A 17044-nucleotide genomic window follows, 5' to 3' on the forward strand; every position below is an offset into this window, starting at 1 on the left:
AGAGATGACACCATCCCTATCCATAGGCAGCTGAAGTGATGAGAGGGGACAGACACTTTGCAACACAAGTACTCTGGAGACAGCATAATGCGTGCCAGATCCAGGAGCACAGGGAACTTGGAGAGTGCAGCGGAGGGGCAGCCAATGCAGCTTGAGTCGTGGAGGGGTCAGCAAGGCTCCCTGGAGGGGTCTGAAAGACAGAATAGAAATAAGTGAGGCAAGAGGGATGACGGGTGTAGGGGAGGGCTTTCAGGCAGAGGGGACAAATGAGCAAGGCCCCGGGGGGCCTAAGGCATGTGAGGGCTGCTAAGAAAGGTGGGTGCGGTAGGCAGAGGCAAGAGGGGAGTCCTGTGGGTGGGCTGGCCAGAAATCACAGGCCCTTAAGGCAGGAGGAACCTGGCACAGCCAGACCCTCGGACAATCTCCCTAGGCCAGCACAACCACATCGCTGCGAACTGGACCGGGAACATTCCAACCTAATCGCAGCTCAGATCAGCGAGCTCCGGAGGCTCCACACATTGGGGCCGAACTCCACCCAGGGTGCCTGCCACTTTTGGGTAGGGGGGCGGGTGGGGGGCAGCCTGCTCTCTCACCAGGCCAGGCAGCAGCGGGGACTTCCAGATCCTCAAGGATTCTCCAGACCGTTGTCTGGAGACCCAGAGTTTTTTCCTCTCCAGCTTCTGGGGCAACTTGGTGGGGCAGAGGGGTGGCCCCACCTGTGGGAGGGACTGAAAAGATCCTGCCTCAGGACCAGGACTTTGGTGATCCCAGTTCTCAAGGACCCCCTGCTCAGGCTGCTATTATCCAAAAGGGCCGAGGGTCAGGATTTCAGCCCCAGCCCGGGCCCAAGCCTGCACTGTTGCCTCTACCAGGTCCAGCCCTGTCCTGCGCCCCACAGAGCGGAAGGACACAGGCCAGGATATGGGCACAACAGCCCCCAGTCCGGAAGTGAGTGGTCAGGTGGCCAATGGGACCGCAGACTCTGTTGTTGTGTAATAGTTTTTATTTATTAAGCTTCTTTTATTTAATAAAACTTTTATTAAAGCTTCTATTCTTCTATTACGCAAACAGAGAGCAGCTCTTTTCCTAAGGGAGTGGCAGGGCATGGGGACAGATGTCTTAAATATACTACCCAATGTCACCAATTTCAACTTGACAATGAAAAGACAGAGAGCGGAAGGAAGCCCCTTCCTCTTTATGCACTGGAGCGCTTCCTCCATCTCCTCACCCCTCCCCCAGCCCCCTCCCTCCTCCTCTCTCTCTCTCCTTGGCATAAGAAAGCAGGTCTCTGGCATTGGCAAAGAGAAAAGTTAAAGGCAGAGAAGCAGTGAGAGGAAGGGAGGAGAAATCAGGCAGCCTGTAGCTAAAGGGTCCCCATCCCACCTTGCAGGCTAGCCAGGACACCTTGCATTCTGGTAAGGTGGGGGTGGGGTGCCGGGGATGAGGTAGGAGATGGTGACTCTCCCTTGCAGGACATCTGATCTTCTTGCATCAGGCCCAAGGACCTGGTGTCATCATTAGTGGGACCAGGCAGGGAGGAAGGTTCCCCAGCGGACCTAGCTGACCGTCCCCTGGAGGCCAGCCAAAGTGTGCGTGGCCACGGCTCAGAATTTGCATCAGTAACAGCACCAGCAGCCCCTGCAGCGGCAAGGGAGATCATTTATCCAGTGCTTGCTATGTGTCCGGCCCTGTGCTTAAGTATTTTTCATTCATTATCTTTTTTAATCCAACCAAACCTCAGGAGAGTTTATTAATTCCATTTAACAAATGAGGCAACTGAGGCTCAGAGAATTTAAGAGGCCTCTAATTAGGGCAGTCCTTTTTGCACTCTGCAACCCATCTGACCTCTTCCTTCTCAAGCCCTGGTCTGCAGCCCATCCTTCCAGAGCTGGAGAGGAGGCAGGACAGGCTCAGGAAGGTTCTACTTTTTCCCTACTCTCACAGCCCCCTACTTCCACCTGTCCCATAGCTGTTTAATTCCATTGTCTCAAAAATGAGGGCTGCTTGGGTTTTCATGGGGAGGGAGCAGACAGCAGGGCCAGTGCACCCTGGCACGTGGGAAGGGGCCTGAGCCCAGCTTGGCATACTGACCTGGCACGGCCTGGCTAGCATCGTCGTCCCACACGTCAGAGTAGCCATGGTCGCTTTTGTTAGCTGGGATTACTGCATTCAGGAGGGAGGAGGAGAGAAAGGAGGGGTCCCAGGCTGAGGTGGGAAAGGGAGGGGGCGCCACAAACTCCTAGGGGTGAGAGTGAGCAGAGATTTGTGGCTCAGGCTGGCAAGAAAGACTTGCCAGGGCTCCGTTAGTGGCCTCAGCCCAACTCCAAGCCCCTGGGACTCAGTTACTCCCTGCCCCGAGTGGCTTTCTCTTCCTCCCCACTCCTGCTTGCTCTGCCTCCATCATGGCTGGGGCAACTGGGACCAGCGGGAGCCCTGCCTGACTCCCACATTTAGAAAAAGAGGATGTGTACTCCACCCTCAGCCCCAGAAAGATTTACACCCATCTGTTGAATCCATGAAAATATGACTGAACAGGAGCCCAGCTTCTTCCCAGGCAGCCACTGATCTCTTCCCTCCCTCACCTCCTAGGAGCACAGGCTTTGCAGTCAAAGAAACTTGGCTTCAAATCCCGACTCCTCTGCTTTTTAACTGTGGGACCCTAAGCAAGTTAGTTCACCTCTCTGGGTCTCAGGTTCCTTATCTCCAAACTGGCAGAATCCTGTGACAAAGGAGCTATAAAAGATAAAGGCCTATATAAAAGAATATATAGTCCGGGCACGGTAGCTCCCGCCTGTAATCCCAGCAGTTTGGGAGGCTGAGGCGGGTGGATAACCTGAGGTTGGGAGTTCGAGACCAGCCTGACCAACGTGGAGAAACCCCGTCTGTACTAAAAATACAAAATTAGCTGGGCGTGGTGGCACATGCCTGTAATTAGCTGGGCGTGGTGGCACATGCCTGTAATCCCAGCTACTCGAGAGGCTGAGGCAGGAGAATTGCTTGAACCCAGGAGGCGGTGGTTGCGGTGAGCCGAGATTGCACCACTGCACTTCAGCCTGGGCAACAAGAGCAAAACTTTGTCTCAAAAAAAGAAAGAATACATAATAACACTAATGTTTGTCAAGTGCCCATTATGTGCCAGGACGTTTCGTGTATTATCTCACTAAGTCCCCCAAAACACTCGATGAGGTTGGTGTTATTATTATTGCTCCCATTTTATAGGCAAGCAAACTGAGGCTTAGGTGAAGAAATTTGCCAAAGCTGCCAAGCCTTAGAGCTGCGATACGTGCCCAGGACCCAGATAACATAGCTTATGCTCTCAGCTCCCCTGACGTGCTGGTGGCTGGTGCGTCTGGTTGCCTGGAACCACGGGTTTGCACCCTATCCCACCCAGAATGCTGACCCCAGGGAGTCATCCCAGGATCCCTTCATCCCAGGCCTTTTTGAACCCATGGCAACTTCTCCTGGCCACCTCCCTAAGACTTTTCCTCTTCCCCCAGGGCTGGGGCCAGGGTTAGGGGCTGCGACTTGACATTGTGTGTATATGTGTCCAGGTAACGCTAGTGGGGGCAGTAGACCCCAGGAGGAGCCTGTGTACTTAGGGTGTGTTGGTTTTTAATCTTCTCCCATCTGACCATTTGACTGGGCCAGGAAGAGCCTGAGGACCGGTTGGGTCATCACAGCATTCCCCAGGGCTGGTTGCTTTAAGGGAGGGATTTTCTTGGATAGCTCCTCTTCCTCCTCCTTCAGCTCCCAGTCCAGAAGTCACTTCCTCAGGGAATGTCGTAGACCAGGCCCTGTCCCCTATCACAGTTAAAAAAAAATGCCCTTTTCCCCCATTTTGCTTTGATTAACATCTCCCCCTGTGCTCCAACCCCATGTGCTTCTTGTGAACAGGGAGAAGATGACTCTATTCACCACCATCCCCAGGACCTGGTAAAGCACCATGCCTGTTAAACAAAGGAATTAACTAATGGGCTTGCCTGGGCCCACAGTGTCCCAGGAAGGCTAAGAGGATGTCCCCCCAGCAGCGATTGCAGCAGAGACAGATCTGACCTCTGCCACCAGGAGAGAGGAACAGGCCCTACCAGCCTCAGCTTCCTGGACCAGTTGATAAGAGAAATCAAACCCAGAGAACTGCCAAGGGGCAGGTACCAATGGAATATCCTCTCAGCCCCAGACCCCTCACCTCAGCTGGTACCTGCCTGGAGCACTTGGGCTATACAGCCTCAGTGAAGGTTCTTTCTCCAACAGCAGCAGCAGCAGCAGTAGTAGTAGTAGCAGCAACAGCAGCAGCAATAATAGTAATAATAGTAATGACGAATATTCCCGGAGTGCTTACTGGGTCCCCAGCCCTGGGCTAAGCATCTTCCATGAATTCTCTCTCAGAACCCTCACAGTGGCCTTAGAAGATAAATGCCATGTTTGTCCCCATTTTGCAAATGAGGAGACAAGCTCGGAAAGGTTGATGCGTGCAAAGTCGCCCACCACATGAGGGGACAATGAGATCGTGAAGCCAGGTGGCTAGAGCCCAGACCAGATGTCTTAACCTCAAAGCTTTTCTGCCTCTGGGGCCTGCCTCTCTAATGTGATAGTTTGGGCCAGGTGCAGCCTGCTAAGTGGGCCTACCTGAATTCACACATGCTGAATTCTCAGGGACCAGAAGCCCACCTCCACCCGCATTGCTCAATTGGGCACTCCTTCATTTATTATGTTTATAATATTATCAGTATTAGGTATTACTGAATACCTACTATGTGCCAGATACTCTACTGTATTGTCCTTAGTGGACAAATTAATGCAACAAAACTAGACCCAGTCCCTGCTCTCGCAGAGTATATTCTAGTGGAAAATAATCAAACAAATGTGTCCAGTTACAAACGGATACATGCAAAGAAGGAAAACTAAAGCTGGCTCTGAGGGAGAACAGGGAAGGCATAATTTAGACTGGGGGACCAGGGAAGTCCTTTCAGACGTGACGTTTATACACTAACACAACCCATCAATCAGCCAATTGATTAATGCAGGCTAGAGAGGCAGTCAGGGTTCCACTTGCTGTGACTTCCGGAGTAAATAGGTTTCCCCTTGGTTTTCCACCCCCATTCAAGGAAAAAAAATAGGGCTGCAACCCACGGCCATTTTGCCGTTTGCTAAGGGAAGAGTCCCTAAGATTCCAGATTCCTGTGACCTCAGAGTAAAGGGTGAGGGAAAGTATAATCTGACTTGGTTTTTTGTTTCTCTTGGATAAAACAGGAAGGGCAGGGTTCCCCCACGCCCTGATCAGTGATTGAGCCGCCAGCCCCGGGCCTCCCTCCCTGCACTCAGAAATGTGGTGCTCTGTCGCCACCTGGTGGACCTAATAGACGATGCCGCAGCAGCCCAGCCTCCAGCGTCTGGGGTAGGATCCAGAAAGCGGCTTCCTTCAGGCAGAGTCTAATACGGAGGCAATAGGTTTGGGTGACTTCCTGACAGGGGGCGGGGGGTGGGGGTGGGAGAAAGAGTGAAGGGTGGATGGGGAACGGCTGCTTGAAAGTCAACTGACTGGAGAACGACAATGGCCCCATTGTGACCAGGGCCTTGACCTTGATTTCCTGCCACTCTCATCTCCGGAGTGGCATCACCCGGGTCTGATTGGACGGGAGTCCGCTCCGTGACAGTGGGCGGGCTCCGGGGCTGGACACTTGCCCAGCTCCGGGACTCCCGGCTGGCCCAATCCCCCAGGAGACCCAGGGAAGACGGATAGGGCAAGGGGCCGACGCCTCTGAGAAGTCGTTTCCTCCTTCCTCTCTACCATCCAAGTGTGGGGGCAGGCCGGGCGCGGGGGCTCACGCCTGTAATCCCAGCACTTTGGGAGGCCGAGGCGGGCGAATCACTTGAGGCCAGGAGTTGGAGACAGGACTGGCCAACATGGTGAAACCTCGTCTCTACTAAAAATACAAAAAAAAAAAAAAATTAGCCGGGCATAGTGGCGCGTGCCTGTAATCCCAGCTACTTGGGAGGCTGAGGCAAGAGAATCGCTTGAACCCGGGAGGCAGAGGTTGCAGTGAGCCTAGATCGCGCCACTGCACTCCAGCCTGGGCGACAGAGCAAGACTCCGTCTCAAAAAAAAAAAAAAAAAAAAAACTCGGGTGTGGTGGCGCATGCCTGTAATCCCAGCTACTCGGGAGGCTGAGGCAGGAGAATCGCTTGAACCCGGGAGGTGGAGGCTGCAGGGAGCTGGGATAGCGCCGCTGCACTCCAGCTTGGGCGACAGAGTGAGACTCCGTCTCAAAAAAAAAAAAAAGCCAGGCGCGGTGGCTCACGCCTGTAATCCCAGCACTTTGGGAGGCCGAGGCGGGCGGATCACGAGGTCAGGAGATCAAGATCATCCTGGCTAACACGGTGAAACCCTGTCTCTACTAAAAATACAAAAAATTAGCCAGGCGTGGTGGCGGGCGCCTGTAGTCCCAGCTACTCGGGAGGCTGAGGCAGGAGAATGGCGTGAACCCAGGAGGTGGAGCTTTCAGTGAGCCTATATCGCGCCACTGCACTCCAGCCTGGGCAACACTGCAAGACTCCGTCTCAAAAAAAAAAAAAAAAATGAGGCAGGCACGGGTCTCCCTTTGAAAGGCTGTGCAGCCTCGTGGTCAAGGCCTGGGATGTGCAGTGTGTGAGGTGTGGCCCCAAATTAGTTCTGGGATCCTTGGACACAGTCTTCAGCATCACCCACTTTTTAAAAGAAATGTCACAGGCATGGTTACACATTCCCACTGTAAAAAAAATCGCGCAATACAATGAAAAGCTGAAGCTCCCCCCTTGACCACACTCACCCTTCCTCAGGTACCTACTGTTGTTAGTTTGTGTTGTTGTGTAGTTAGTGTCAATGTGTACACTGACCTCATTCAATTGTATTTATATTCGAGTGTGTACATATGAAAATGTGTAAGCTCACGCCTATAATCCCAGCACTTTGGGAGGCTGAGGCCGGCAGATCACCTGAGGTCAGGAGTTCAAGACCAGCCTGACCAACATGGAGAAACCCCCCATCTCTACTAAAAATACAATATTAGCCGGGCGTGGTGGCGCATGCCTGTAATCCCAGCTACTCAGGAGGCTGAGGCAGGAGAATCACTTGAACCCGGGAGACGGAGGTTACGGAGAGCTGAGATTGCACCATTGCACTCCAGCCTGGGCAACAAGAGTGCAACTCTGTCTCAAAAAAAGGAAAAGAAAATGTATAATTTGGTATTACTTTGTGGGCCTCAGTTTTCTAATCTGAAAATTGGGATGACAAAGATAGTAAACTGTAGAGTTCCTGAGAAGGCTGCCTGAGATAATTAGTGTGCTGTGTTTAGCACTGCACTTGGCACACAGTGTCTGCTATTATTGTTGTCATCATTACCATCTTTATTGTCATTATCACTGGGCCCCAGACCTAATTCTGACATCTGAATAGACATCCTTCACAACCTCTACTCCCCCTTCTCCCTCCTTCCTCCTAACAGACTGATAAAAACCTGTGTTCCCTAATGCCTTTGTTTTTTGAAGAAGCTATAAAGAGCATCCGGTGTTTTCTGCATGTTCTCCCTCTTCCCTCCAGGTCCCTCACTCCATCCCCTTCTTTTCCCTCCCATATTTGACCTAGATGCAACCACTCACCCCACTGCAGAGACAGAGAACCTTCCCATTCTCAGCCAGAGAAAGACATCCATGGCCTGAATGGTGCTGCTGGACCCACAGTGACTCTACATAAAGGCTGTCCCTAGGTAGGGGTAGAGCTAGTGGCTGAAGGGGAGGAGGAGGACTCTGAAAGAGGCCTCCTGTGGAGCAGGTAAGCATCAGAGCACCCTAGGGTGCAGCCAAGGGCAAGTCATCCCACCTTTCTGAGCCTCAGCTTCCTCACTTGTACAATGGGGCTACTAAAAATAGCTACTGCATTCAATTGCTATAAGGATGGCATAGTGCCTGAAAAGGGACCTGGCGTTGAGAAAGCCCCTAATAAATAATAGTTATTATTATATTGTAAAACAAAGTGTCATGTTTATTTAGCATTTTAAGTTTGCAAAGGAAATTACCAACATCTTTCTTTTTTCAAAAAGAAACAAAAGGAGCTAGTCTTTCCACCATGGGGAAGAAAGTTTGGTTTTGATTTATAAGTCTCAGAAGAAAGGTAGATGACTTTACCTGGGCCTCTGTGGAAGCATCCAGATGCCACTTCCTGGAGCTGTTGCTGGTCCCTCTGTATTGCCTGTGTTTTGCCATATTTTAAAATTATGTATATACATAGGCATATATTTGCTGAACAATTTGCAGATAAGTTGTAGACACTTTGACACTTTACCTCTAAAACTTTAACATATACCACCTAAGAATGTATGGACATGTGATAAGCATATATTATCACACCTAAGAAAGTTGACAATAATTCCCAAATGTCATCTAATGCTCATCCATTTGCAAACTATCCCAGTTAAAAAAAAAAAGCCTTTTATAGTTTTTTTATCCATTAGTTGTATTTCTAAACTTTTGATTTTGAAATAATTATAGATTCATACGAAGTTGCAAAAATAATAGTCTCCTGTACCCTTCTTCCAGTGTCCCCCCGTGGTGACATCTTATTACTTAAAAGTAATTTTAGTTTTTGCCATTGAAGGTAGTGGTAAAAACCGCAATTACTTTTGCACCAACCTACTATCAACTAGGCTACAGACATTATTTCGTTTTCACCTGCATTCATTTACGTGTGTGTGTGTATCTGTGCTCTTTTATCCCATGTGTAGATTCATGTAACTACCACCACAACCAAGACAGATAGCTGTTACATCACCACAGAATAACTCACTAGTGACACTTCTTTGCATTCACATCCACTCCCACTTCATTCCTCCTTGTCTCTCTTTCTATCCCCTGGCAACCATGAATGTGTTCTCCATCTCTGTCGTTTTGTCATTTTGAGATCGTTATATACAGGAAATCACATAGTTATCTAACATTTTTTCTTTTTTCTTTTTTTTTTTTTTTTTTTTTGAGACGGAGTCTTGCTCTGTCTCCAGGCTGGAGTGCAGTGGTGCAATCTTGGCTCACTGCAACCCCCGCCTCCCGGGTTCAAGCAGTTCTCCTGCCTCAGCCTCCCAAGTAGCTGGGATTACAGGTGCGCACCACCACGCCCAGCTATTTTTTGTATTTGTAGTAGAGATGGGGTTTCACTGTGTTGGCCAGGATGGTCTCAATCTCTTGACCTTGTGATCCGCCTGCCTTGGTCTGTATCTAACATTTTTATATTGAATTTTTCCACCAAGAATAACACCCTCAAGGTCCCTTGAAGTTGTTGCACACATTACCAATAGTTCATTCCTTTTTATATGGCTGTACCACAGTTTATACAGTTTATACATTTACCAGTTGAAACACATTTGAATTGTTTCCAGTTGTTGGACAATTATAAAGTCACTATAAACATTTGTGTACAGGTTTTTGTGTGAACAGAAGTATCATTTCACTGTGGGAAAATACCTACAAGTGGGATTGCTGGGTTGTATGGTAAGGGCATATTTATGAGAAATAGCCAAACTCTTGCAAACTGACTATACAAATTTTGCATTCCCACCAGCAGTGTGAAAGCTGCAGTTTCTTTGGATCCCTGCCAGCACTGGATATTACCGCTTCTTTTGTTTTTGTGTTTAGGATTTTAGCCCTGCCCCACTATAGGTGTGTAATGGTACCCCACATAATTTTTTTCTTTTTGGCAGCGTTTCACTCTGTCGCACAGGCTGGAGTGCAGTGGCGCAATCTTGGCTCACTGCAACCTCCACCTCCTGGGTTCAAGCGATTTTCCTGCCTCAGCCTCTTAAATAGCTGGGACTACAGGTGTGTGCCACCATGCCTGGCTAATTTTTGTATTTTTAGTAGACTGGGTTTTACCATGTTGGCCAGGCCGGTCTCACCCACATGACTTTTAAAACATAAATAAGACCAGGTCATAACCCTCTTTTTTTTTTTTTTTTTTTTTTTTTTGAGACAGGGTTTTGCTCTGTTGCCCAGGCTGGAGTGCAGTGGTGTGATCATAGCTCACTGCAGCCTCAACCTCCTGGGCTCAAGTAATCCTCCCACCTCAGCCTCTCAGCCTCACAAGTAGCTGGGACTACAGGTGCACACTGCCACACCCAGCTAATTTTGGGGTTTTGGGGTTGTATTTTTTTAGAGATGGGGTTTCACCATGCTGCCCAGGTGTGTCTCAATCTCCTGAGCTCAAGCAATTTGCCCACCTCAGCCTCCCAAAGTGCTGGGACTACAGGCATGAGCCACTGTGCCCGGCCTATAACCTTTCTTAAATACTTCGAGTGGCTTCCCATCACACTCAGAATAAAATTCAAACTCAAAGGGCCTGCCAGGCTGCCTCTCCTGATCTCTTATGCCTCTTCCCCTCACTCTGCTCCAGCCACAGTGACTTCCTTGTTTCTCTAATGCCCTAAGCTTGTTCCTCCCTCAAGTCTTTCACCTGCGGTTCCCTCCACCTGGAATGTTCTTGCCCTGGGTATACACATGGCTCAGTTCCTCATTTGGTTCTGTCTAATGTCAGCTCCTCAGAGGCCTTCCCTGGTGGTCAAAATGAGCCCCATCCCTGCGCTCACCCTCGGTTCCCTTATCCTGTTTTATTTTCTTCATAGCACTTATTTCTCCTTGATATAATATTATATCAATTGTTGACTTGCGTCCTGTCTGTCTCCCTATAAGGACAGGGCTTGGCTTTTTGATGGCTATCTCCAGTGCTTAACACAGTGCTTGGCATATAGAAGGAAATAATATTTGTGGAATGAATGTGTATGGGAAACCTCTTGTAACCCTCCTGTCATCCTTTTGGCCCACGTTTTACTCAGCCATCACTGTGGCAACCAGCTTGGAGCAGGTAAACGCACCGAGGCTCAGCTGCTCCACACGGCTCTGCTCTTGCCTTCTGCTGGGGCTTCTCCCTGGACTCCAGTACTGCAAACTGGATGTCTGAGGATGTTAACCCCTTGGGAGTAACCCTGGGCCCTTGGCGGCTGGGGTTGGTGGCTATGTGCTTTCTTCTCTGACACTCAGTGGACAACTAGGAGGTGCACTCTACACTGCTCCTCATCACATCCCAGCTGGGTCAAGCCCCAGCTGCCCACAGTGGTGACCAGCTCTATAACACACCATGGCACTGGCTTTCCCTTGTTCCTACTTCATGAGTCTCCCCAGTCCCCTATTCCTGCTCCCTGGGATCATGTCCTGAATTAACTTGCAAGCATGCTCTTTCTCTGCTTTCTCTACCTGTAAGAAGGTAGCAGGGATAGAGAAGAGCCCAGGTTACATTAGAACAATATATGAAACTTATAGACTAGTAGGAGAGACCAATACAACAAAATTTAAATAACTACAGGTAAAGAGATGGACTTTTCAACAGATGGTGTTGGAATAACTGAATATCCATATGGAATGCAATGCATTTCAATCCTTACTTCATACCATACTCAAAATAAATCAAAGAACTATTAAAAAAAAAACTATAAAACTTCTGGAAGAAAGAAATTCTGCCAGGCACGGTGGCTCATGCCTGTAATCCCAGCACTTTGGGAAGCCGAGGTGGGTGGATCACGAGGTCAGCAGTTCGAGAACAGCCTGACCAACATGGTGAAACCCCGTCTCTACTAAAAATACAAAAACAATTAGCTGGGCATGGTGGCAGGCGCCTGTAATCCCAGTGACTTGGGAGGCTAAGGCAGGAGAATTGCTTGAAACCGGAAGGCAGAGGTTGCAGTGAGCCGAGATTGTGCCACTGCACTCTAGCCTGGGCAATAAGAGCAAAACTCCATCTCAAAAAAAAAAAAAAGAAAGAAAGAAAGAAGAAATTCTTCATGATGGTGGGGTAGGCAGAGATCATAGAAAGAACTTACTATAAAAGGAGGAAAAAGACAGCATTAAAAAGATAAATAGGTAAGTCATACACTAGGAGAAGGTTTTGTAATACATACTTTTGACAAAAGATTTCTATCTGGAACATATAAAGAAATCTAATAACTCAATAGTAAGACCCCAACCAAAATAAAATATGGGCAAAAAAAATTTAACAAATACCTCAAAAAGAAGATATACAAACATCCAATAAACACACATGAAAAGTTGTTCAACATTATTAGCCATTAGGGAAATGTAAATTAAAATCACAATGAGATAACATCACACACTCACTAGAATGGCTAAACTTTAGGAGAATCGGTAATAACGTGTTGGTGACGATGTGGAACAACTGGAACTCTTATATATTGCTGGCAGGAGTGTGAACTGGAACAGTCACTTGGAAAAAAGTTTGGTGGTGTCTTATAAAGTTAAACATATACTTACCAATGCCCAGCAATCTCCATTATAGGTATGGTTGGGATGTGATTTGTCTGTGTCAAAACTCATGTTGAAGTTTGCTTGCCAGTTCTGTCCACTGGGGAGGTAAGGCCTAGTGGGAGGTGCTTGGATCATAGGGGTGAATCCCTTATGAAAATAGGTTGGTGCTGTTGTCCTAGTAGAGTGTTTTCTTGTTGTTGTTGTTGTTCTCAAGAGACTGGATCAATTCTCAAGGAATGTATTAGTTCCTGAGCAAGGGGTTGTAATAAAGTGAAGTTTCTCCTCCTGTTTGATCTCTCTTTGCATACGTCTGCTTCCCCTTTAACCTTTTCTGCCATGTTTTGACCCAGGACAAAAGCCCTCACCAGAAGCCGAGTGGATGCCACTGCCACTTGAACTTCCCAGTCTGCAGAACTGTGAGCTACACCTTTTTATAAATGACCCATCTCAAGTATTCTGTTACAACACCACCAAATGGACTAAGACAAGTATTTATCCAAAGGAAATAAAAATGTATGTCTGCACAAAGATTAGTACATGAAAAATGTCAGAGCAGCTGTATTCATAATAACCAAAAACTGGAAATATCCCAAGTATCCATCAACAGGTGAACAGATAAATTGTGGTATATTCATACAATGGCTTACTACTCAGTAATAAAAAGGAACAAAGTAGTGGTAAGTGCTACAACATGAATACAACTCGAAAACTTTATACTGAAAGATGCCAGATAGAAGCATACATAGCATATTATTACATTTAAATGAAGTTCTAGAACAAACAAAACTATTTTGATTGGCTGGCCTTGAAAAGGTGACATTTGAGCAAGATCTGGATGTCAAGAGGGAGCCAGCTATGGCAAGATCGATGGGGAGCATTCCAGGCAAACAGCACTACAGGAACAGGATCAGGAAAGAGCTTGTTGAGCTTGGAAACAGTCAGCAGGCCACAGTGACTGCGTGAAGTAGGTGGGGCAGAGAATGGTGGGGGACAGGGTGGAGAGGTGGATGGGAGCCAGATCATGCCAAGCCTTATCAGCCCTGATAAAGTTGTGGAATTTGATATGAATAAAATGCAAATCCCTCATAGTTTTGTGGGGCGGAAACACATAAGCAAATAAAGGCAATTCAGGGTCATGGGTGATATATTTGGGGAGTGTACAGGGAAAGAGGAGTAGTAGGCATTAGGGACATCTGAGAAGGCTTCCCAGAGGAGGTGACATTTCGGCTGAGACTGGAAGAGTAGTAGAAGAGGGGAAAGGTCATTCTGGTGGAGGGTACTGTGCCTACAGAAGCTCAGAGACATGTAGCCTCAGGGAACATTCAGAGACCTCAGCATAATATAAGCCTAGTTGGAGTGTTCCCAACTAGGAGAGGGAGTGGCAGGAGATCTGAGGCTGAAGAGAGTGGCTTTGAATGCTTTGTCAGACTTGATCCTGCAGGGAATGGGAAACCCCTGCAGAATTTATAGTCAGGAAGTATCAGGGCCAGGTTGACACTTCAGATCAAGATCTCCAGATTGGCAGGCAGAGAGCAAGGCCACTGGTTCTAGTGTGAGATAATGGGGGACTGGGCCTGGGACTGAGCAGGGGTGGGCGGGGCAGGGAGTAGAGCCAAACTCTGCTAAGCAGTGACTAGGACTCTCCCGATTGAGGCAAAGCTCTCCAGATCTTGAGGCCCCAGAGGGCCATAAATACTTTCATGCGCATCTGTTCTCTTGGAGGGCTTGTCACACCTGAAGGCTCCTAGGCCCTGGCTCCCAGGGATTCAGAAGTGATAGGTCTAGGATGAAGCCCAGGAATCTGCATACATAAAAAGTGACACTCTCCACTCTGATGCGGGTGGACTCCATACCTTCCAGGCTGGGGAGGGGAGGGGGCAGGACAAGCACACTCTCATCTGGACTGTGGCTGAAGCAGCTCAGAGAATCGAAGGTAGCATCTAAAATAAGGACCTGGATGCACTGGGAACAAAGGTAGTGTGTGTCTCCACTGCTGCAGCTAAAGAATTGCAGTGGAGTGGCCCTGGTCATCATGCAGAAAAATGACTCCTGATCACCAGTCCAAGGAGCCACAGAAATAAGAGATGGGGCCATGATCGGACCATAGATCTGTCTTTTAACCTGTACCTTCTCCTAGGGTGCAGACAGGGAGGCAGGAAGGGGATTACTGGAGGCTGCAGTAAACTAGAGAACAAGCTCTGTGCAAAGGAAGCCTCTCTTACCATTCAGCATCTCAATGAATTAACCCTCACAACAGCTCTATGTGGTTGGTCCTATTATTATTCCCATTTCTTAGATGGGGAAACTGAGACTCAAAAAGGTGGAGTAAGTAGTGCTGGGTCCCAAGGTGAGGACATAGGGGAACCATGGCTGGAACACAGGCCTCTGGACACTCCGAATCATAGCATTGCCCTGTGTCCCCTTCAGTGGGAAAAGTCACTTCATCTCTTAATCTTAAATGATCTTCCAAGCAAGAGGAGGGGAGAGGAGGAGTATAAGCTTTCTTTGTCCCATCTTTTTCAGAAGGTATCTAAGTCCTTCCTGTGTGTGTCTTCCAAAGATACAGTACCAGGACCTAGAGAGGCTGAGATTTAGAGCCTCATGGTGCAAACTCAATTGTAGGGTCCTAGCCAGGACTACTTGCCTGTATCTTCTAAGAATCTCACAACAGTGCCACATGCCTCAGCTTTATCCAAGCAACAGAAGGAGGTGGTGGAGGTGGTGATGGCAGCAGCAGCAGCAGCAGCAGCAGTGGCAGCAAATCTGTCCCCAGTGCACTACAGTACTGTTTTGCTATGATGAAATACACATGGCATATGGCTACAAAGTTACTATCTTGAGAGTGGATAGAAATGGGATTTTTCATGTGCCAGATTTCACTTCCCTTTCTGAAACAATTCTTGTAGTAAACAGAGGTTTTCTGATCTTGCTAAGATCAAGAGGATGGGAATTCCTTTACACTTTTAAAGTAAGACCACTGTCTTGTAGAGTTTCAGTCTGTTGATGGTGCAAATGTTTTTTAAACATGGACGCTATTCTGTGTTCCTCCCTCTTTCCTTCCAAAGGCTACGACACAAAGAGGAGCTGCTAACACCAGATGACCAACTCCTTTCCAGTTACGGACCATCCCGGTGATGAGACCTCCATATGTTGTCTGATGGCCGCAGTTCCTTGGCAAGTGGGTGGGGAAAAGGAAAGTTGTGTTGAGTGTGGGAGGCCACAGGGTGGAGGAGGTTAGGAAGGACCAGAAAGCACATAGAATGTGACTTTAAGGAGGAGAATTTTTTTGAACCATGTCTTGTGTGCTGACAGCATAATGATCATTATTAGGGCCTCAGATGTAACATGAAGCCCACCCTGAAGTTAAATTTTCCTTTTCAGAGAAGCGTGGCCTGTCAGCCCAGCATCAGATGGTTCCATGCCAACCTCCTCCATGGCTAGGTGTTGGAGCGCCCCAGCTGCTGCCTCCCTGGTAGCTTTCATTAAAGGACTTTGCTTTTTTGGTAAATAAGGGCCCCATTTTTCTACCTTAGTCTTTGAAAATCAACCTGAGAAACACTTTGTGTAAGTACCACAGATGTATTTGCAGTTTTCTACACACATTTAGTTTCTGGGGTTTTTCGTTGTTTTTTGTTTGTTTGTTTTTTGAGATAGAGTTGCCCAGGCTGGAGTGCAGTGGCATGATCTTGGCTCACTGCAGCCTCCACCTCCCAGGTTCAAGTGATTCTCCTGCCTCAGCCTCCCGAGTAGCTGGCATTACAGTTGTGTACCACCACGTCCACCTAATTTTTTGTATTTTCAGTAGAGATGGTGTTTCACCATGTTGGCCAGGCTGGTCTTGAACTCCTGACCTCAAATGATCAACTGCCTTGGACTCCCAAAGTGCTGGGATTACAGGCATGAGCCACTGTGCCCGGCTGGCCAACTAGTTTCAAGGTTGCTATCTGGAATCCTACCTCCCCAGGCACCCTCCTGGTCACAGCATGACCTCTAACAGAGGGGCAGATCTGTAGCCTTAGTTGTACCCAGACAAATTTGGTTTGGCTTTCATGGTATTTTGAAATTGGTTTTCATGTCAAAATCCTGTTTGCTGGCTTCTCTTGAAAAATCAGAAAACTTGGCCACATTGAGTTATATTCCTGAATGTCAAGTGGCTGGATCTGAATGAGTAGTGCTCCCTTTGCACAGAGCATGTTATCTGATATGCCTCAGTCCCTACCACTTCCCACCATCCCCCGCAACCACACCCCAAGAGAAAATATGAGCTAAAAGGCAGATATAGATATAGGTGTTCTGGTCTTGACCCTACCACTCATTTCCTGTGGCTCCTTGAACAGGTGTCTACATCTCTTAGGAAGAAGAGAATAATGAGATGATGTATGCAGAGCACTGGCAGAAAGCCTAGCATAGAGGAATCTGAGGATTCGCCATGCATGCTTCCTGGTATATAGTACTAGTTCTTGTCAATGGCACAGAGACTTGAAGACTGTATATAAATGGACACACCTACTAGAATGTAAGCTTCATATGCACAAGGACTTTAAAAAATCTGTTTTGCTTATTTCTACATCCCCAGGGCCTAGAGCAGTCCCTGGCACATGGTAGGCCATAGGCCCTCAGTAAATGTGTTGAATGAATATGTGGATTTAATATTTCCCTGACTTATTTTCTTATGTCATGTGCTAAGTCATCGGTCCATTTTAAAAAT

The 17044-nt window shown here is 48.0% G+C and overlaps 2 long non-coding RNA genes across 4 annotated transcripts, besides 1 other annotated feature; one reads left to right on the forward strand and one right to left on the reverse strand.

The window, feature by feature from the left end:
- Nucleotides 1-111: 111 nt before the first annotated feature.
- On the reverse strand, nucleotides 112-5497 carry LOC124901086 (uncharacterized). Of its 3 annotated transcripts, none has more exons than XR_007058964.1 (4): nucleotides 5345-5497; nucleotides 4187-4401; nucleotides 2092-2163; nucleotides 112-190 (listed from the first exon to the last, which is right to left on the reverse strand). It is a non-coding gene; the product is annotated as an uncharacterized LOC124901086 (long non-coding RNA). The 3 variants fall into 3 exon arrangements; XR_007058965.1 differs by lacking the exon at nucleotides 112-190 and adding an exon at nucleotides 664-728; XR_007058966.1 differs by lacking the exon at nucleotides 112-190 and adding an exon at nucleotides 1568-1638.
- Nucleotides 2048-2707: an enhancer, noted in NCBI's record as "H3K27ac-H3K4me1 hESC enhancer chr5:139533596-139534255 (GRCh37/hg19 assembly coordinates)". NCBI's record gives its function as "activates a minimal SCP1, AML or CMV promoter by ChIP-STARR-seq in primed H9 embryonic stem cells {active_cell/tissue: H9 hESC(primed)}" and the evidence as "EXISTENCE:reporter gene assay evidence [ECO:0000049][PMID:30033119]".
- On the forward strand, nucleotides 5356-16822 carry LOC101929719 (uncharacterized). The gene is made up of 5 exons (NR_130738.1): nucleotides 5356-5395; nucleotides 12687-12849; nucleotides 15402-15510; nucleotides 15718-15839; nucleotides 16674-16822. It is a non-coding gene; the product is annotated as an uncharacterized LOC101929719 (long non-coding RNA).
- The last annotated feature ends 222 nt before the right edge of the window (nucleotides 16823-17044 follow it).

The sequence above is a fragment of the Homo sapiens genome, chromosome 5, assembly GCF_000001405.40.
Source record: "Homo sapiens chromosome 5, GRCh38.p14 Primary Assembly".
NCBI classification, from domain to species: Eukaryota; Metazoa; Chordata; class Mammalia; order Primates; family Hominidae; genus Homo; species Homo sapiens.